Source organism: Homo sapiens, chromosome 1 (genome assembly GCF_000001405.40).
Source record: "Homo sapiens chromosome 1, GRCh38.p14 Primary Assembly".
Classification (NCBI taxonomy): domain Eukaryota; kingdom Metazoa; phylum Chordata; class Mammalia; order Primates; family Hominidae; genus Homo; species Homo sapiens.
The window spans coordinates 243,652,593-243,669,730 of NC_000001.11; the positions used below are offsets into that span (position 1 = coordinate 243,652,593).

Here is a 17,138-nt window from a genome sequence, read left to right on the forward strand (position 1 = left end):
AATACTAACCTTAAATGTAAATGGGCTAAATGCCCCAATGACAAGACACAGACTGGCAAATTGGATAAAGAGTCAAGATCCATCAATGTGCTGTATTCAGGAGATCCATCTCTCATGCAAAGACACACACAGGCTCAAAATAAAGGGAAGAAGGAATATTTACCAAGCAAATAGAAAGCAAAAAAAAAAAAAAAAAAAAAAGCAGGAGTTGCAATCCTAATCTCTGATAAAACAGACTTTAAACCAACAAAGATCATAAGAGACAAAGAAAGGCATTACATAATGGTAAAGGGATCGATGCAACAAAAAGAGCTAACTATCCTAAATATAGACGCATCCAACACAGGAGCACCCAGATTCATAAAGCAAGTTCTTAGAGACCTACAAAGAGACTTAGACTCCCACACAATAATAGTGGGAGAAAGAGACATGAAAAAACCCTTCAAAAAAAAAATCAATGAATCCAGGAGCTGGTTTTTTGAAAAGATCAACAAAATAGATAGACCTCTAGCCAGACTAATAAAGAAGAGAGAAAAATCAAATAGACACAATAAAAAATGATAAAGGGGATATCACCGTCAATCCCACAGAAATACAAACTACCATCAGAGAATACTATAAACATCTCTATGCAAATAAACTAGAAAATCTAGAAGAAATGGATAAATTCCTGGACACATACAACCTCCCAAGACTAAACCAAGGAGAAGTTGAATCCCTGAATAGACCAACAACAAGTTCTGAAATTCAGGCAGCAATTAACAGCCTACCAACCACAAAAAGTCCAGGACCAGATGGATTCACAGCTGAATTCTACCAGAGGTACAAAGAGGAGCTGGTCCCATTCCTTCTGAAACTATTCCAAACAATAGAAAAAGAGGGAATCCTCCCTAACTCATTTTATGAGGACTGCATTATCCTGATAAGAATATGTTCCATCCTGATCAATGTACCATGCTTACTTGAAAATAACGTCTCTTCTGCCACTTTTGAGTGTAGTGTTCTATAAATACTAGGTATATCAAGGTGGTTGACAATGTTATTCTATGCCTTAGCTAGTTTTTTGTGTAGCTCCTCTACCAAGTGCTGAGAATTTTTAAATCTCCAAATATGGTTGTGAAATTGCCCATTTTTATCCCTTTAATTCTGTTACATGTGTTGATGACTGCTATATCATCCTGTTCAACAGAAACTTTTCTCATTATAAAGTATCCTAGTAATCTATGGTAATACATTTAATTTGAAATGATATAATACGGCAATCCATTCTTCTTATGCTTACTGTTTCCATGATCAATCTTTTTCAATCTATTTATTTTCAACCTGTATCTTTATCTTTTTCTCCTTTCCTGCCTGTTTTTTAAATTATTTTGCACTTTTTCAGAATTCCATTTTAATTTTCCTGTTGGCTTTTCAGTCGTCTTTTTTTGCAATTATTTTTATATATATCCTTAGCTTTACATGGTCCACTTATGTAATATATGCCAGAATAATTTCTAATTCCATTTCTCCTCCAATTAGCCTGGTAGCCATCATACTCTCACTGTCTTTTTAGTAATTGTAACTTAAATTATAATATTTAACTTTGACTTTGCAAAGTCTAAAATGTCCATACTTTTAACTCTTACCAGAAAATACAGCAACCTCACAAAAAATTAACTCCATTTTTGTCAGGATCTCAATTTATATTACTTCAGATATTTTTCACTTATATAATTAAAACACAACATAAATTATTTAAAAATCAATGCTTACTTTTATTTATTGGTTTATTTAAGCATTTTGTTTTTCATTCCATTCTGTACTTATCCTCCTGAGATTATTCTTATTGTGTCCAAAGAATACTAGGTTAGTTATTATAGGTGTGCTAGTGACAAATCTTATCAAATTATTGGAGGGTGAAGGGAGTAGAGACAGGATCTCACTATGTTGCCCAGGCTGGTCTTGAGCTCCTGGGCTCAAGTGATCCTCCTGCCTCAGCCTTCCAAGGTGCTGGGATTATAGGCATAAGACACAATGCCCAGCCTCTTTCAATTTTTTACTGAAAATATTTTCATTTTACTTTTATTCATGGAAAATAGTTGTTTCTTAGCACTCATTTTCTTTCAGAACTTTGGGGATATCATTTCATCATCTTTGGAAATATTCCATTATTTGGGAACATTATTCAATTATATTTCATTATTATTCCATCCCACATATTGACATTATCTTTTGGTCTACATGCTGCTGCTCTGAAAGCAAACATTTTTTTCTCTGTCTACATTGGGGATTTTCCCACTATCTTTGTTTTTTAATAGTCTAATGAGATTAGGGATTTTCTTCATATTTTTCCTACTTGAGATTTATAGGACTTTTGAAACTATGGTTTGGTATCTTTAACTATTTTTTAAAAAATTTCAATCATTATATTTTCAAATACTTTTTGCTCTATTCTCTCCTCTCCTTCTAAGGCTCCAGTTATATATATGTAAGACATGCTCACCGCATTGTTTTTATCTTACATTCTATTCTTAATTATTTTTATTTTCTATCCTCTTATCTTTGCATGTTTCACTATAAACGTTCTGTTCTGACGTATTTTTGAGTTCGCTAATTTTCTCTAATGTGAGGTCTAGTTTGCTATTAAAGCCATCTGCTAGAACTCATAATTCCAAATGTTTTGTTTTCAATTTTAGAATTTCTATGGGGCTCTTTCTTTTTAATTTTACCTTGATTACAAATGAAAGCTATTATCCATTTGTTTCTTTTTTATACTTTCCCTCTGTAGAATCAAACAATTTTAACATACTTGAACATACTAATTAATGTATAGTTCTTTTATCTAGAGTTCCTATGAATATGATTCTATTGTCTGTTTTTTTTTCCTCTATTATTTTGGCCACATAGTGTTGAATTTTTGTGTACTCATTTTTTAACAAGTCCTGGACACAACACATGAAAACTGAGGTAATGTGAGGTCTAGGAAGATATAATCTTCTGTTAGAGTGAGTTTACATTTGCTTTTAGCAAGCTCCTAGAAAACTAGCAAAGTTGAATCACCTTCACTCAATTTCAGGACTGAAATAATTTATAGTTATATGTCAATCCTCTCAAAGCAAATCTATTTCCAGTTTACTCTTTCTTACAGGGTACAGTCCTTTAAGCTACCAATACCAAAATGTAGTGGTTTACCATGTCTCCTCTTTGGCAGATCCTAGATTCCAAAATATCACTCCCAGCTCTGGGAGCTACTCAAAATCTCTCCATCTCCAATACCACTTCAAGAACTAGCAGGTAACCCAAAAGGAAAAGTAGGTTCACTGTCTGGGTTTCTTTCTTCAATACAGTTTTGGCCCAATAAATCTTAGCCTTATCAGCTCTCTGGTGTCTTTTTAAAAAACAAAAACAAACAAAAGTCTTTTCCAGCTTCACTAGTGGTAGTTAGCTGGACTACTGACCCAAATTACATAATTCACCATAATTCATGATACTTAAACTATAACCCTACACCATTTGGTGAGGGTGTGGCGGGGGGGTGTGGGGGGGTAATTCCTGCAAAAAAGTATCAGGCCAAAGTACCTGACTAATTGAAAGAGGGCATCCAATCTTTTTATTCCTAAATAATGTTTAAAAATGTAATTAATTTGAAAAACAGAATGGAGACCCCTATGAAACAAGTACATTAATCTTTTAAAAGTACATATACTACTTCATACAAAAATCAATTTTCACCAACTGATTAGTTACTTACTAATAAATATTTAATTAAATGTCTAATACATGTGTGCTACTAAAGTTTAAAAAAGGAATGGCTTAGGAAGAACTTACAGTCTGATGGGGGAGCCTTGGTATTGTGGGGAAGTATAATAAAATGTTATGGGTAAAATGATACAAGTATACGCTAAGTACAGTGGTGTTCTAACAATAATAAAAGTTTGTGATGGGGACCCAAAAAGAAAGGTAATTCTTGAATGTAGATGTGAAAAATGAATTGGTACTTACCAGGATGAGCAAGAGACAAGCAAAGGATACGAGGTGTTCCTAGCAGTAGGGACAAAAGGGCAAGAAGGAAAGAGCTACAGGTAATGTAAGAGCACAGTATAGCATTAGTACTTGGGAAACAACAAGGAGTTCAATGTATCTGGAACATGTTGGGGGCGAGGCATACGTGTGCGCATGCACATGTGTCTCTGTATGTGAGTGTGAGTGTCGTGGCCATGGTTGTGACAGTGAAAGTAGTTAGCTGTTAAGAAAGAAAAATGACCTTTGTCTATATTGTGGATGGTCATGTGCAGCATAATAAAGTACATATACAAATCATATTTAACAGTAAATTAGTGGTGTATCCAATAAATTAAGAAAAAAGGTATATGTGCTATGATCAAAATTATTAAACATTGCTTTAAAACACACAGAAATAATACATAAAACTATCAGAAATGAAGAGATAAAATTGTTATTGTCTGCAGATACTAGGTCTACAAAGAATAAATGTTTTGGGTTACTTAACCCCAAAGGTGATGGTATTAGGAAGTGGGCCTTCATGAGGTCATGATAGAACTCATAGATTAAATTAGTGCATTTATAGAAAAGTCCTCAGAGAGTTCCTTTGGCACTTTTACTAGGTGACAATACAGGGGAAAGACACCTTCTATGAACCGTGAAGAGGGCCCTCTCTAGACACTGAATTTGCCAGCACCTTGAACTTAAACACCTGGCCTCCAGAACTGTAAGAAATAAATTTCTATTGTTTATAAGCTACTCAGTTTATGATAGTTTGTTGTAGCAGCCCAAAGGGACTAAGGCAAATCCCATTTACAAAAGCATAAAAAAGAATAAAGTACTTTAGGAATAAACTTAACCAAGAAGGTGAAAGATTTGTACACTGAAAACTACAAAACATTGCTGAAAGAAATGAAAGGAGACACAAATAAATGGAAAGACATCCCATGTTCATGCACTGAAAGGTTTAATATTGTTAAGATGTCAACACCACAAAGTAAGCTACAGATTCAATGCAATCCTTTTCAAAATCCTACAGCATTTTTGCGGAAACAGAAAAAAAAAATCCTAAAATTCGTATGGAAACCATAAAGAATCCCAAACAGCTGAAACAATCTTGAGAAAGCAAAAAGCTGAGGGCTTCATACCTCCTGACTTCAAAATGCATTCTAAAGCTTCAGTAATTAAAACAGATTGGTACTGGCATAAAGACATATAGACTAATGGAACAGAACAGAGAGCCCAGGTAATAAAACCATATATATATACAGTCAAATGATCTTTGACAAGGGCGTCACAACTAACACAATGTGGAAATATAATGCTGCTGAGAAAACTGGGTATCAACATGCAAAAGAACAAAAGTGGAGCCTTATTTTACACCACACACAAAACCAACTCAAAATGGATCAAAGAATAAATATAAGACATGAAACTACAAACTCCTAGGAAAAAACCACAGGAGAAAAGCTTCATAATTTGGTCTTTAGAAATGATTTCTTGATGCTGACAAAAGCAGTAATAGATGAGTAGAAGTATATCAAAATAAAAAGCTTCTGCACAGCAAACAACAGAACAAAACAGAAAACTACAGAATGAGAGAATATATTTCCAAACCATATGTCTGATAAGGGCTTAATATTCAAAATGTATAGGGAACTCCTATAACTCAGTAGCGAAAACAAAAAACAGAAACACAAGTAAAAACTTGGCAAAAGACTTGAATAGACATTTCTTCAAAGTAGACATACAAATGATACACAGGTATTTGAAAAATGCTTAGCATTACAAATTATCAGGGAAGTACAAATCAAAACCACGATGAAATATCACCTTACACCTGCTAGTATGGCTGTTGTTTTTAAAAAAACAACAACATAAAAAATAAATAAGTAAGTGTCAGCAAGGATGTGGAGAAATTAAAACCTTGTACACTATTGTTGGGAATGTAAAATAACGTAGCTGCTACAGAAAACAGTATGAAGATTCTTCAAAAACTTAAAAGTAGAACTACCAAATGAACCAGCAATCACATTTCTGGATATTTATTCAAACAAAGTGAAATGAGGAACTTAAACAAATATCTGCCCTCTCATGCTCATTGTTGCACTATTCGCAATAGCCAAGAGGTGGAAACAATCTAAATATCCATCAGCAGATGAATGAATAAAGAAAATGTATTGGCCGGCAGTGTGGCTCATGCCTGTAATTCCAGCCGAGGGAGGAGTATTGCTTGAGGCCAGGAGTTCCAGACAAGCCCTGGCAACACAGAGAAACCTTGTCTCTACAAAAAAAAAAAAAAAAAAAAATTAACTTAGTTGCGTGTGTGGCTGTAGTCCCAGCTACTGGGGAGGCTAAGCTGGGAGGATCCCTTGGGCCTGAGTTCCAGGCTGCAGTAAGCCATGATCACACCACTGCACTACAGCCTGGCTGACAGAGCAAGACCTTGTCTCAAAAAAAAAAGAAAGAAGGCAATTGTGTTATATACATACAATGGAATATTATTCAGCCTTAAAAAAGAAGAAAATCCTCTAATATGCTGTAACATGGATTAACTTTGAAGACATTATACTAAGGGAAGTAAGACAGTAACAGGACAAACACTGTATGATTCCACTTATGTGATGTGTCTAAAGTAGTCGAATTCACAGAAGCAGAAAGTAGAACGGTGGTTTCCAGGGGCTGGGGGTATGGGAATGGAGAGCTACTGTTCAATGGGAACAGAGGTTCAGTCATGCCAGATGAAAACGTTCTAGAGATCTGCTGTACAATAATATGCACATAGTTAACAATACTCTATTATACCCTTAAAAATGAAAGAGGATTTCACATTATGTAATTTTTACCATAATTTTTTAAAAGAATGCACTAATGTAGCTAAGAACATTTTTGTTAAAAAAAATAAGGGATATGTTGCTATATTAACAGTTAAAAATTTTATAGTTTCTCTAATTAAGGCCATGTGGTGTTAATGCTAGAGTACAGAAAGGTCAAAGGGGAAAAAAAGACTAAATCCTAAAAGCGCAAATATGTATATGTGTTATCCACAATCAGTGAGAAAAAAATGGATTATCTAATAAATGGAGATGAGATGATGGGCTCGCCATTGAGAAAAAAATAGAGTCCACCCTTATATCATGTACTGAAATAAATATAAGACAGGTGAGAGATATACAGATTTAGTTTATGACAGGTAAAAATTTTAGACTGGGCAGAATATTAAAAATAGAGAGTTTTTCTAACTCACACTAACCCTCTCTAAGTCTTCAATGATATTACACTAAAGTCATATAGATTCAGTTTGCCACTATTTTATTGAGGATTTTTGTATCAATGTTCATCAAGGATATTGGTCTAAAATTCTCTTTTTTGGTTGTGTCTCTGCCAGGCTTTGGTATCAGGATGATGCTGGCCTCATAAAATGAGTTAGGGAGGATTCCCTCTTTTTCTATTGATTGGAATAGTTTCAGAAGGAATGGTACCAGTTCCTCCTTGTACCTCTGGTAGAATTCGGCTGTGAATCCATCTGGTCCTGGACTCTTTTTCGTTGGTAAGCTATTGATTATTGCCACAATTTCAGCTCCTGTTATTGGTCTATTCAGAGATTCAACTTCTTCCTGGTTTAGTCTTGGGAGAGTGTATGTGTCGAGGAATTTATCCATTTCTTCTAGATTTTCTAGTTTATTTGCGTAGAGGTGTTTGTAGTATTCTCTGAGGGTAGTTTGTATTTCTGTGGGATCTGTGGTGATATCGAATCCAGCAGCACATCAAAAAGCTTATCCACCATGATCAAGTGGGCTTCATCCCTGGGATGCAAGGCTGGTTCAATATACGCAAATCAATAAACGTAATCCAGCATATAAACAGAACCAAAGAAAAAAACCACATGATTATCTCAATAGATGCAGAAAAGGCCTTTGACAAAATTCAACAACCCTTCATGCTAACAACTCTCAATAAATTAGGTATTGATGGGATGTATCTCAAAATAATAAGAGCTATCTATAACAAACCCACAGCCAATATCATACTGAATGGGCAAAAACTGGAAGCATTCTCTTTGAAAACTGGCACAAGACAGGGATGCCCTCTCTCACCACTCCTGTTCAACATAGTGTTGGAAGTTGTGGCCAGGGCAATTAGGCAGAAGAAGGAAATAAAGGGTATTCAATCAGGAAAAGAGGAAGTCAAATTGTCCCTGTTTGCAGATGACATGATTGTATATCTAGAAAACCCCACTGTCTCAGCCCAAAATCTCCTTAAGCTGATAAGCAACTTCAGCAAAGTCTCAGGATACAAAATCAATGTACAGAAATCACAAGCATTCTTATACACCAACAACAGACAGAGAGCCAAATCATGAGTGAACTCCCATTCACAACTGCTTCAAAGAGAATAAAATACCTAGGAATCCAACTTACAAGGGATGTGAAGGACCTCTTCAAGGAGAACTACAAAACACTGCTCAAAGAAATAAAAGAGGATACAAACAAATGGAAGAACATTCCATGCTCATGGGTAGGAAGAATCAATATCGTGAAAACGGCCATACTGCCCAAGGTAATTTACAGATTCAATGCCATCCCCATCAAGCTACCAATGACTTTCTTCACAGAATTGGAAAAAACTACTTTAAAGTACATATGGAACCAAAAAAGAGCCTGCATTGCCAAGTCAATCCTAAGCCAAAAGAACAAAGCTGGAGGCATCATGCTACCTGACTTCAAACTACACTACAAGGCTACAGTAACCAAAACAGCATGGTACTGGTACCAAAACAGAGATATAGATCAATGGAACAGAACAGGGCCCTCAGAAATGACGCATATCTACAACTATCTGATCTTTGACAAACCTGAGAAAAACAAGCAATGGGGAAAGGATTCCCTATTTAATAAATGGTGCTGGGAAAACTGGCTAGCCATATGTAGAAAGCTGAAACTGGATCCCTTCCTTACACCTTATACAAAAATCAATTCAAGATGGATTAAAGACTTAAACGTTAGACCTAAAACCATAAAAACCCTAGAAGAAAACCTAGGCATTACCATTCAGGACATAGGCAAGGGCAAGGACTTCATGTCTAAAACACAAAAAGCAATGGCAACAAAAGCCAAAATTGACAAATGGGATCTAATTAAACTAAAGAGCTTCTGCACAGCAAAAGAAACTACCATCAGAGTGAACAGGCAACCTACAAAATGGGAGAAAATTTTCACAACCTACTCATCTGACAAAGAGCTAATATCCAGAATCTACAATGAACTCAAACAAATTTACAAGAAAAAAACAAACAACCCCATCAAAAAGTGGGCGAAGGACATGAACAGACACTTCTCAAAAGAAGACATTTATGCAGCCAAAAAACACATGAAAAAATGCTCACCATCACTGGCCATCAGAGAAATGCAAATCAAAACCACAATGAGATACCATCTCACACCAGTTAGAATGGCAATCATTAAAAAGTCAGGAAACAACAGGTGCTGGAGAGGATGTGGAGAAATAGGAACACTTTTACACTGTTGGTGGGACTGTAAACTAGTTCAACCATTGTGGAAGTCAGTGTGGCCATTCCTCAGGGACCTAGAACTAGAAATACCATTTGACCCAGCCATCCCATAACTGGGTATATACCCAAAGGACTATAAATCATGCTGCTATAAAGACACATGCACATGTATGTTTATTGTGGCACTATTCACAATAGCAAAGACTTGGAACCAACCCAAATGTCCAACAATGATAGACTGGATGAAGAAAATGTGGCATAAATACACCATGGAATACTATGCAGCCATAAAAAATGATGAGTTCATGTCCTTTGTAGGGACATGGATGAAATTGGAAATCATCATTCTCAGTAAACTATCGCAAGGACAAAAAACCAAACACCACATATTCTCACTCATAGGTGGGAACTGAACAATGAGAACACATGGACACAGGAAGGGGAACATCACACTCTGGGGACTGTTGTGGGGTGGGGGGAGGGGGGAGGGATAGCATTGGGAGATATATCTAATGCTAGATGACGAGTTAGTGGGTGCAGCGCACCAGCATGGCACATGTATACATATGTAACTAACCTGCACATTGTGCACATGTACCCTGAAACTTAAAGTATAATAATAATAAATAAAATAAAATAAAAATTTAGAAAAAAAAATCAAGTCATATAGAATGTCCAAACACCAGATTCTAGAGGTATATAGAAATGCACATACCAATGGCAAATATGAGTATGCTGTTTTTCATTTGTATTAATACTGTTTTTTCTTATAGTTATAAATGCAAATGAAAACTGATTGTTCAGAAGAGTAGTATATTATTACAGGAACAGCAGAGGATTTTAGAGTCTTAAGATCTGACAGAAATCCAGCTTTGTAAACACAAATGGCAAAATGAATTGTGCTTCAACAGATGTTAAAAATCCACTAAGAATAACATTTTCAAAGAATATATATTGACATGGGAAAAGTACCATTCATCCAGCCAGTCAATAAATACTGTGTTGGGCCATGGACTATGTGCAAAAGATGTTTTAAATGAGCAAGGAAGCCATCATCTTTGCTGTCAAGAATCTTCAAGTTTAGTGAGAATGGCAAACAAGGATTACAGTTATAATATGATTGATAGAAAAGGTACAAAGAAAAATATCTAAGTACCTAGCAGGGGAACCTGCCTAGTCTATTAGAGTCAGAGGTTTTGTAGGAAAAATAACATTTTAAGCTCAGATCTGAAAAGATACATAGGAATTAGCCCAACTTAGTGATTATGGATTATGGGTGGACATATCAACAAATTGAAAGCTCAGTATTAATTATCAAGGGAGAAAAGGCCCAGGATCAATGGTGGGGAGGGGAGGGTGTGCGGGGAGGGAGGCAGTGCAGGGAGGGGAGGGTGTGCAGGCAGGGTAAGAGTTCGGGGACCCATACCCAGAACTGTATCTATATGAAAGGCCTAATTACGTCTGCACATAGTAAGATTGGAAGTGCACAAAAGAAAATATTATCAGTGCTTAACTCTTTTCTATATTTCTTAATCAATCATACATTACCATTTACTCTACTGATCAAAAGTGTTATTAAAATAATACTTTACCATTTTGCTTTTATTAAAATTTTAGACAAGACTGTTAAAACTTTGTGTATTCATTTGGAAAATAAGGCTAATAAGATTTAACTTCACAAAGTTGCTGATTAGGATCAAATATAATAACATGTGCAGGATGGTGGTTTTGTGACTGTGGTCACTGGACCTAACTCAGTATCAGAGTGAGCAGATATAGAATTGGGAAGTGGTTGTAAAAACTGATAGATCAGGAGGATAAAAATGTGGACCTGATGAAGTTGATGAGTTGGTTACTACAGTGTTGTCACTACCCACTTTAGTAATAATGACAGTCAATGCTAATTAATCCTCTCTCCCGCTCCTTAGACCCAATCTCAGAATCCTTAGCAACTTAGTGCTCCAGACAGCCACTTACAACTAATTTAGAATGGCATGTTACTTGAAATCTTTTACTATCACTAGCCTTGGAATTTCAAGTATGAATACAATCAATTATACAATTTTTTAAAAAAGGTAGTTTGGCTATAAAAATGTCTTTTTTTTTTTTTTTTTTTTTTTTTTTTTGAGACAGAGTCTCGCTCTGTCGCCCAGGCTGGAGTGCAGTGGCGCAATCTCGGCTCACTGCAAGCTCCACCTCCTGGGTTCATGCCATTCTCCTGCCTCAGCCTCCTGAGTAGCTGGGACTACAGGCGCCCGCCACCACGCCTGGCTGATTTTTTGTGTGTGTGTTTTTTTAGTAGCGACAGGGTTTCACCTTGTCAGCCAGGATAGTCTCGATCTCCTGACCTTGTGATCCACCTGCCTCAGCCTCCCAGAGTGCTGGGATTACAGGCGTGAGCCACCGCGCCAGGCCAAAAATGTCTTTTTAAATTTATATTTTAACCTTTAAATGTTCTGTTTCTCTGAAAGTATATCTTCTAGCATGCCCAGAGGTTCTGATATATTAAATATTATTTTGTAAGCCACTGTTATTCATGTATTATGCCAGAAGCAAGAATTTAGAGACTATAGCATTTAAAAAAATATATTTATATATATTTACAAATAATAAAGTCAGATACAAATACATCTTTAGATTGAGTGTTGCTTTTTCACAAAATGAAAACAAGTGAATTTCTTACCTTTCCTCTGGAGTATCTACATGAAATGTTCTCTCTATAACAGTAGTCCACTGGAGACATCTGATTATAAATGTGTTTGGCTTTGGTCGTTCTGTTTTCATTAACTGGCATTCTAAGAATAAAATAAAATGTTTCTTTAAATATGGATATATTTAAAACAAGAAGTAAATAATTGAGAACTACAGAGTTCTATTTTAAACAAAACCCAGTGCGAACTCACAGCTTTCTATGGTTCTCCACTCAAGATTATTTACAGCCTGACCTTAGTCTTCCTTTCCAATCCTTCACCCATTCTGGCCACATTAACCACCTCAACTGGACTATATAATTTTCCCCAAACACACATCTTAACTCTTTCATTTATTTATGCCTTTGCTCCAGCTGTTCTTGCTATCTGAAATACTTTCCTCACTTATTTTACCTCTATCCATATGCATCACCTGCAGTCACAATAGTACTGATCCTTGAAGGTCCAGATCAAATATTATTCCTTCCATGAAACCTTCCATAACACCTCGCCCTAGACTGACCATTTCATCCTCTCTATTCTCTTTACTTATTACCATATCCCTCATGTGTCACTTACCATAGACTATCTTACAGTATTACTTATCATTTTAAGAAAATGACAAATATCACTTATCCTTACCTAGATTATAAGCTTTTTGACAATATAAACTGCCTGTAACTCTTAGTATCCACTGCCCCAAGAGCCAGTCACTCTAAACATGATTAAATTCTGTTACTGAATAACTAGGAAGATGTCAACAAACATGAGCCTAAAGTATGGATTCTCTGACACTGGTGTGCGTAGATTCAATTATTTTTTCGTACCATTAACTACACAAACTTGGACAAATTAATTAAACTCGCTAGTCTTCAACAGTTAAGTGGGAAACAGTATCTACATCATAGAATTGATGTAGGAATTAATAATAAGTTCATCTAATATTAGCATAATATGAGACCTATAAGCTTTCAACAAACATTAACTATTATTTGGCATACATCTGAGCTGGGCTTTAAAGGATAAATGGTATTGGACACCAAGAAAAAATAGGGTAGGGTTGTCTGCTGACTCTGCTCTTTTGGAAGAAACTAATTTATCTCCGTTGAAAACTTCAAGTCTTTTCTCAGTGCTTATCTGCTGTGTCCTATCTCCATCATTAGCAACTATCAACTGCCATTTCTATCTCTTTATAGTTCCAATTCTTTACTCAGATTAGCTGTGTTTTTGTTTGTTTGTTTGTTTGAGACAGTCTCGCTCTGTCACCCAGGCTGGAGTGCAGTGGCGCGATCTCGGCTCACCGTAACCTCTGCCTGCTGGGTTCAAGTGATTGTCATGCCTCAGCCACCCAAGTTGCTGTGATTACAGGCGTGCACCACCATGCCCAGCTTATTTTTCTAATTTTAGTAGAGATGGGGTTTCACCATGTTGGCCAAGCTGATCTCGAACTCCTGACCTCAAGTGATCCGCCCGCCTCGGCCTCCCAAAGTGCTGGGATTACGGGCTTGATCCACCGTATCCAGCCCCAGATTAGCTCTTTATTGGCCCTTTACACTGAGAGAAATCATTCACCCAAGGGTCTCTGCTTAGTTTTCTAACAGTTTACATGTTTTCAGCAATCATCTCTCAGTTTACCAATATCAAAATCCAAACTTTTTTCACCTTGCAGTTCTACTTTAAGACACACGTGTCTAAACACATAGTGAATATTTCTACCTGGTTGAATTACTGGACCACCCCTAAAACCAAACTCAGTATTTTCCCCCTAAAATTCATTCCTCCTCCTGGCTTTCATAATTTTCCATCACCCAGGCTGAAACATAAACTGATCTTCCTTTTTGATACTGGTACTATTTGTCATTACAGGTGCTCCTCGACTTATGACTGTGTTACATTCCAATACAACCATCGTAAGTCAGAAATATTATAAGGCAAAAATGCATTTAATACACCTAGACTACCCAACATCATAGATTAGCCTAACCTACTTGAAACATGCTCAGAACACTTCCATTAGCCTAGAGTTGGACAAAAATCATCCAACACAAAGCCTGTTTTGTAGTAAAGTATTGAATATTACACATAGATGGGTGTTTTGTCGACATGATGAGATGAGAAAACACAAAAACTAAGAGCATCCAGAAAAATGCTGGCAACACAGTACACTGTAGAGTATCTACTGTGCATGTTGTGATCACGTGGCTGACTGCAAGCTGTGATTTGCTGCTGCTGCCCAGCATCACTAGGGAGTATCACACAGCAAATCACTACCCCAGGAAAAGACAAAAATCCAAAATTTGAAATACAATCTCCATTGAGTGTGTACTGCTGTCAGGAGCACGGTAAAGTAAGACATCGTTACCATGAACTACTGTAAGTGGGAGACCATTCGTAACTGGTTTTCCACTGCTATAATTCTACTTCAGATTCTGTGTGCCCAATGCCTAAACCTCCCGGCTGCCCTAAGACAAGATTCTTCCTATTTAGAGATGCTGAGTGACTATGTAAGTTAAAGACAGAAACTGTGCTCTGGGAGACATCTGAACATGTCCGAACGTGAACTCTTGACCTCTCTCAACCCTGCTCCTTCTTCTGCCAACCTCTACTGTGGCTTCCTCTATCTCACATGACACCTCCATCCTTTCAATTGCCCAAGCTGAAAACCCAAGAATTCCCTTGGAGTCCTCTCTTCCCTGACATCACATTCACTCCTCCTGCAAATCTTGGTGTTTCTACTTTAAAAACATAACCAGCTTCTGATAACTTCTCACCACCTCCACTACCTCAGACTAAGCCATCATTGTCTCTCACCTGATGATTCCAAAAAACTTAGAATAGCTTTTCCCTGCCCCTCACTGCAGTCTGTTCTCAACACAGCAGCCAGAAATCTTCTTAAAATGAAGATCTGCAAAAAAGTTCTGCAGTGTTTCAGTTCACTAAGAATAGATGAGTAAGGCCTTTAAGTGATCAGCAGGTGTCCTACGTGATCTGACCCTCCCACTGACCCCACTGAAGTTTCTGACCTACTTCCTTAGTACTCTCTTTCAGGCTGCTCTGCCAGCCACCCTGGCTTCCCTGCATTTCCTCAACAATGCACTACACTCTTTCTGCTTTAGAGCTTTTTGCCCTCTGCCTAACATTCTTTCCCCCCTCACACACCCGCACAGCTGCTCTCTTAGACATCCTATTTAATACTGCAATCTGCACCCCTTACCTAGGACTCTCCCTCCATCTTCTCTTACCTGCTCTATTTTTTATTTTCCATAGCATGTTACCATTTTCTAACATTTGATATGAAGTTTTTTAGTATCTTTTTTGCTTATTGTCTTTTCAACTAGATTGTAAGCTCCATTCATATATTCTTAGCACTTAGAACTATGCCAGACACATAGTAGGTACTCAATAAACATTTTCCAAATGAATTCTGATAGTAATAATCCAACAAAGAAGGTAATTTTGATGCTACCAAAAGATAATTTCTAAAGCAATGTACCTATATAAGCAAGAAGGGATTAAATTTACTGGACAAGTAAAGGGGTAGCTCTAATCAGGAGTATAAATAGTTTAGTAATAAAATAAAAGAGAAGATATAAGGGCCCAAATGCAATTAGGAGTACAGAAGCAAGTAAAAGCTGGTAGAAATTATTTTCTCACTGCTTCTGTTTTTTTCAGTGAATTAGGATATAAAGTCATCGGGAATAACGTTGCAAAAGGATCCATCAGGCTTTGAAGAAAAAAAGATATGAAATAGCACTCTGGGAAAATCAAAGTACAAATAGGCTAAGGAGACCAACCATGACTGCCGAGAAGGATGAAGGACCAACCTGAATTTAATAATGAAGAATTTAAACTAATAACAGAGATCATGGTTGTGTATTTTCTCCCAGATATACCCAGATATATTCAGCTGCATGTGTACAGGTGAGGAACATAGAGTAATGAATTTAAGCAAGGCTGTACTTTAACCAAGTAAGTTTGTCAAAGCAAGAAGACAGAAAAGAATAAAGAATGCAAGGCAAGGGAGTGATTATGATACTCAACTAAGAAACTTAAAATGGGTATGGAGGAAAGTGAGAACCTGGGGATGTGCAAGACAATGAAAAGGTGGTAGAATCAATAGGTCATAAAATCTATTATATCACAATTCAACTTTGTATAGCAGCATGACATTTTTTGAAATATGAAAGTTAAAAAACACAAAATATATATTCCACAAAAAATAAGCAAAAATATTGTTCATTTGAAAGACTTAAGTTTTAAAATACCAAAGACATTATACTAATTTATACTAATAAAGAGCCAACCAATTCCTATGACTGACTCTGCCCATCAGTCTGATTCTCTTTGAAGCCAACTGTTCCTCCCCATATCCTTCTTTTCAAAAGCCCTATTAAATTTCCAGCCAGTAATTCACTAGCTATATTACTTAAAAGTTAGGAATTGTGTGCACAGTTCTTCTTATAGCACCTAGGACAGTGACAGGACATAGGAGTATACAATAAATACCCTGATTGGGCAACTGATTGGCTGGCTTTAAACGTAAAGAATGGAGGACAGACACTTAAATGAGGGGCGTGCCCAAGAGAAATACTATGGGGTACAGAGAAATACAGCACAGAAGCAAAGAAAGAATGCCCGGTCTGAGGTTCACTATTTCAGTTTTACTTCAGGTTCCCATTATGGTGATATAAGGTAATTAAGATAATGGACTCTGCAATCAGAAAGAAATTCAAATCCAGGCTCTAACACAATCAGCTGTGTGATCCTTTTGAAAGTACTTTATATCTAAGCCCTCAGGTTTATCATCTTTAAAAGCACTATCATGAATTAAAAGCATATTTTCAACACTATACCTAAATGAAGTTTAAATGCTATAATTTAAAGAACTTCTCAACACTAGACTTTTAGAAGCTACTCGAAGTGCTGTTATAAGATTCCAAATATCAATTACT

General features: G+C 36.5%; 1 protein-coding gene across 12 annotated transcripts in view; it reads right to left on the reverse strand.

The window, feature by feature from the left end:
* The window catches only part of AKT3 (AKT serine/threonine kinase 3), a 362,847-nt gene that overhangs the window by 164,360 nt on the left and 181,349 nt on the right, over positions 1–17,138 (reverse strand). For all 12 annotated transcript variants that reach the window (NM_181690.2, NM_001370074.1, XM_047420641.1 and 9 more), the window contains one exon: positions 12,180–12,291. In NM_181690.2, the coding sequence (NP_859029.1) occupies positions 12,180–12,291 (112 nt within the window). The remainder of the gene's footprint in view (positions 1–12,179; positions 12,292–17,138) is intronic.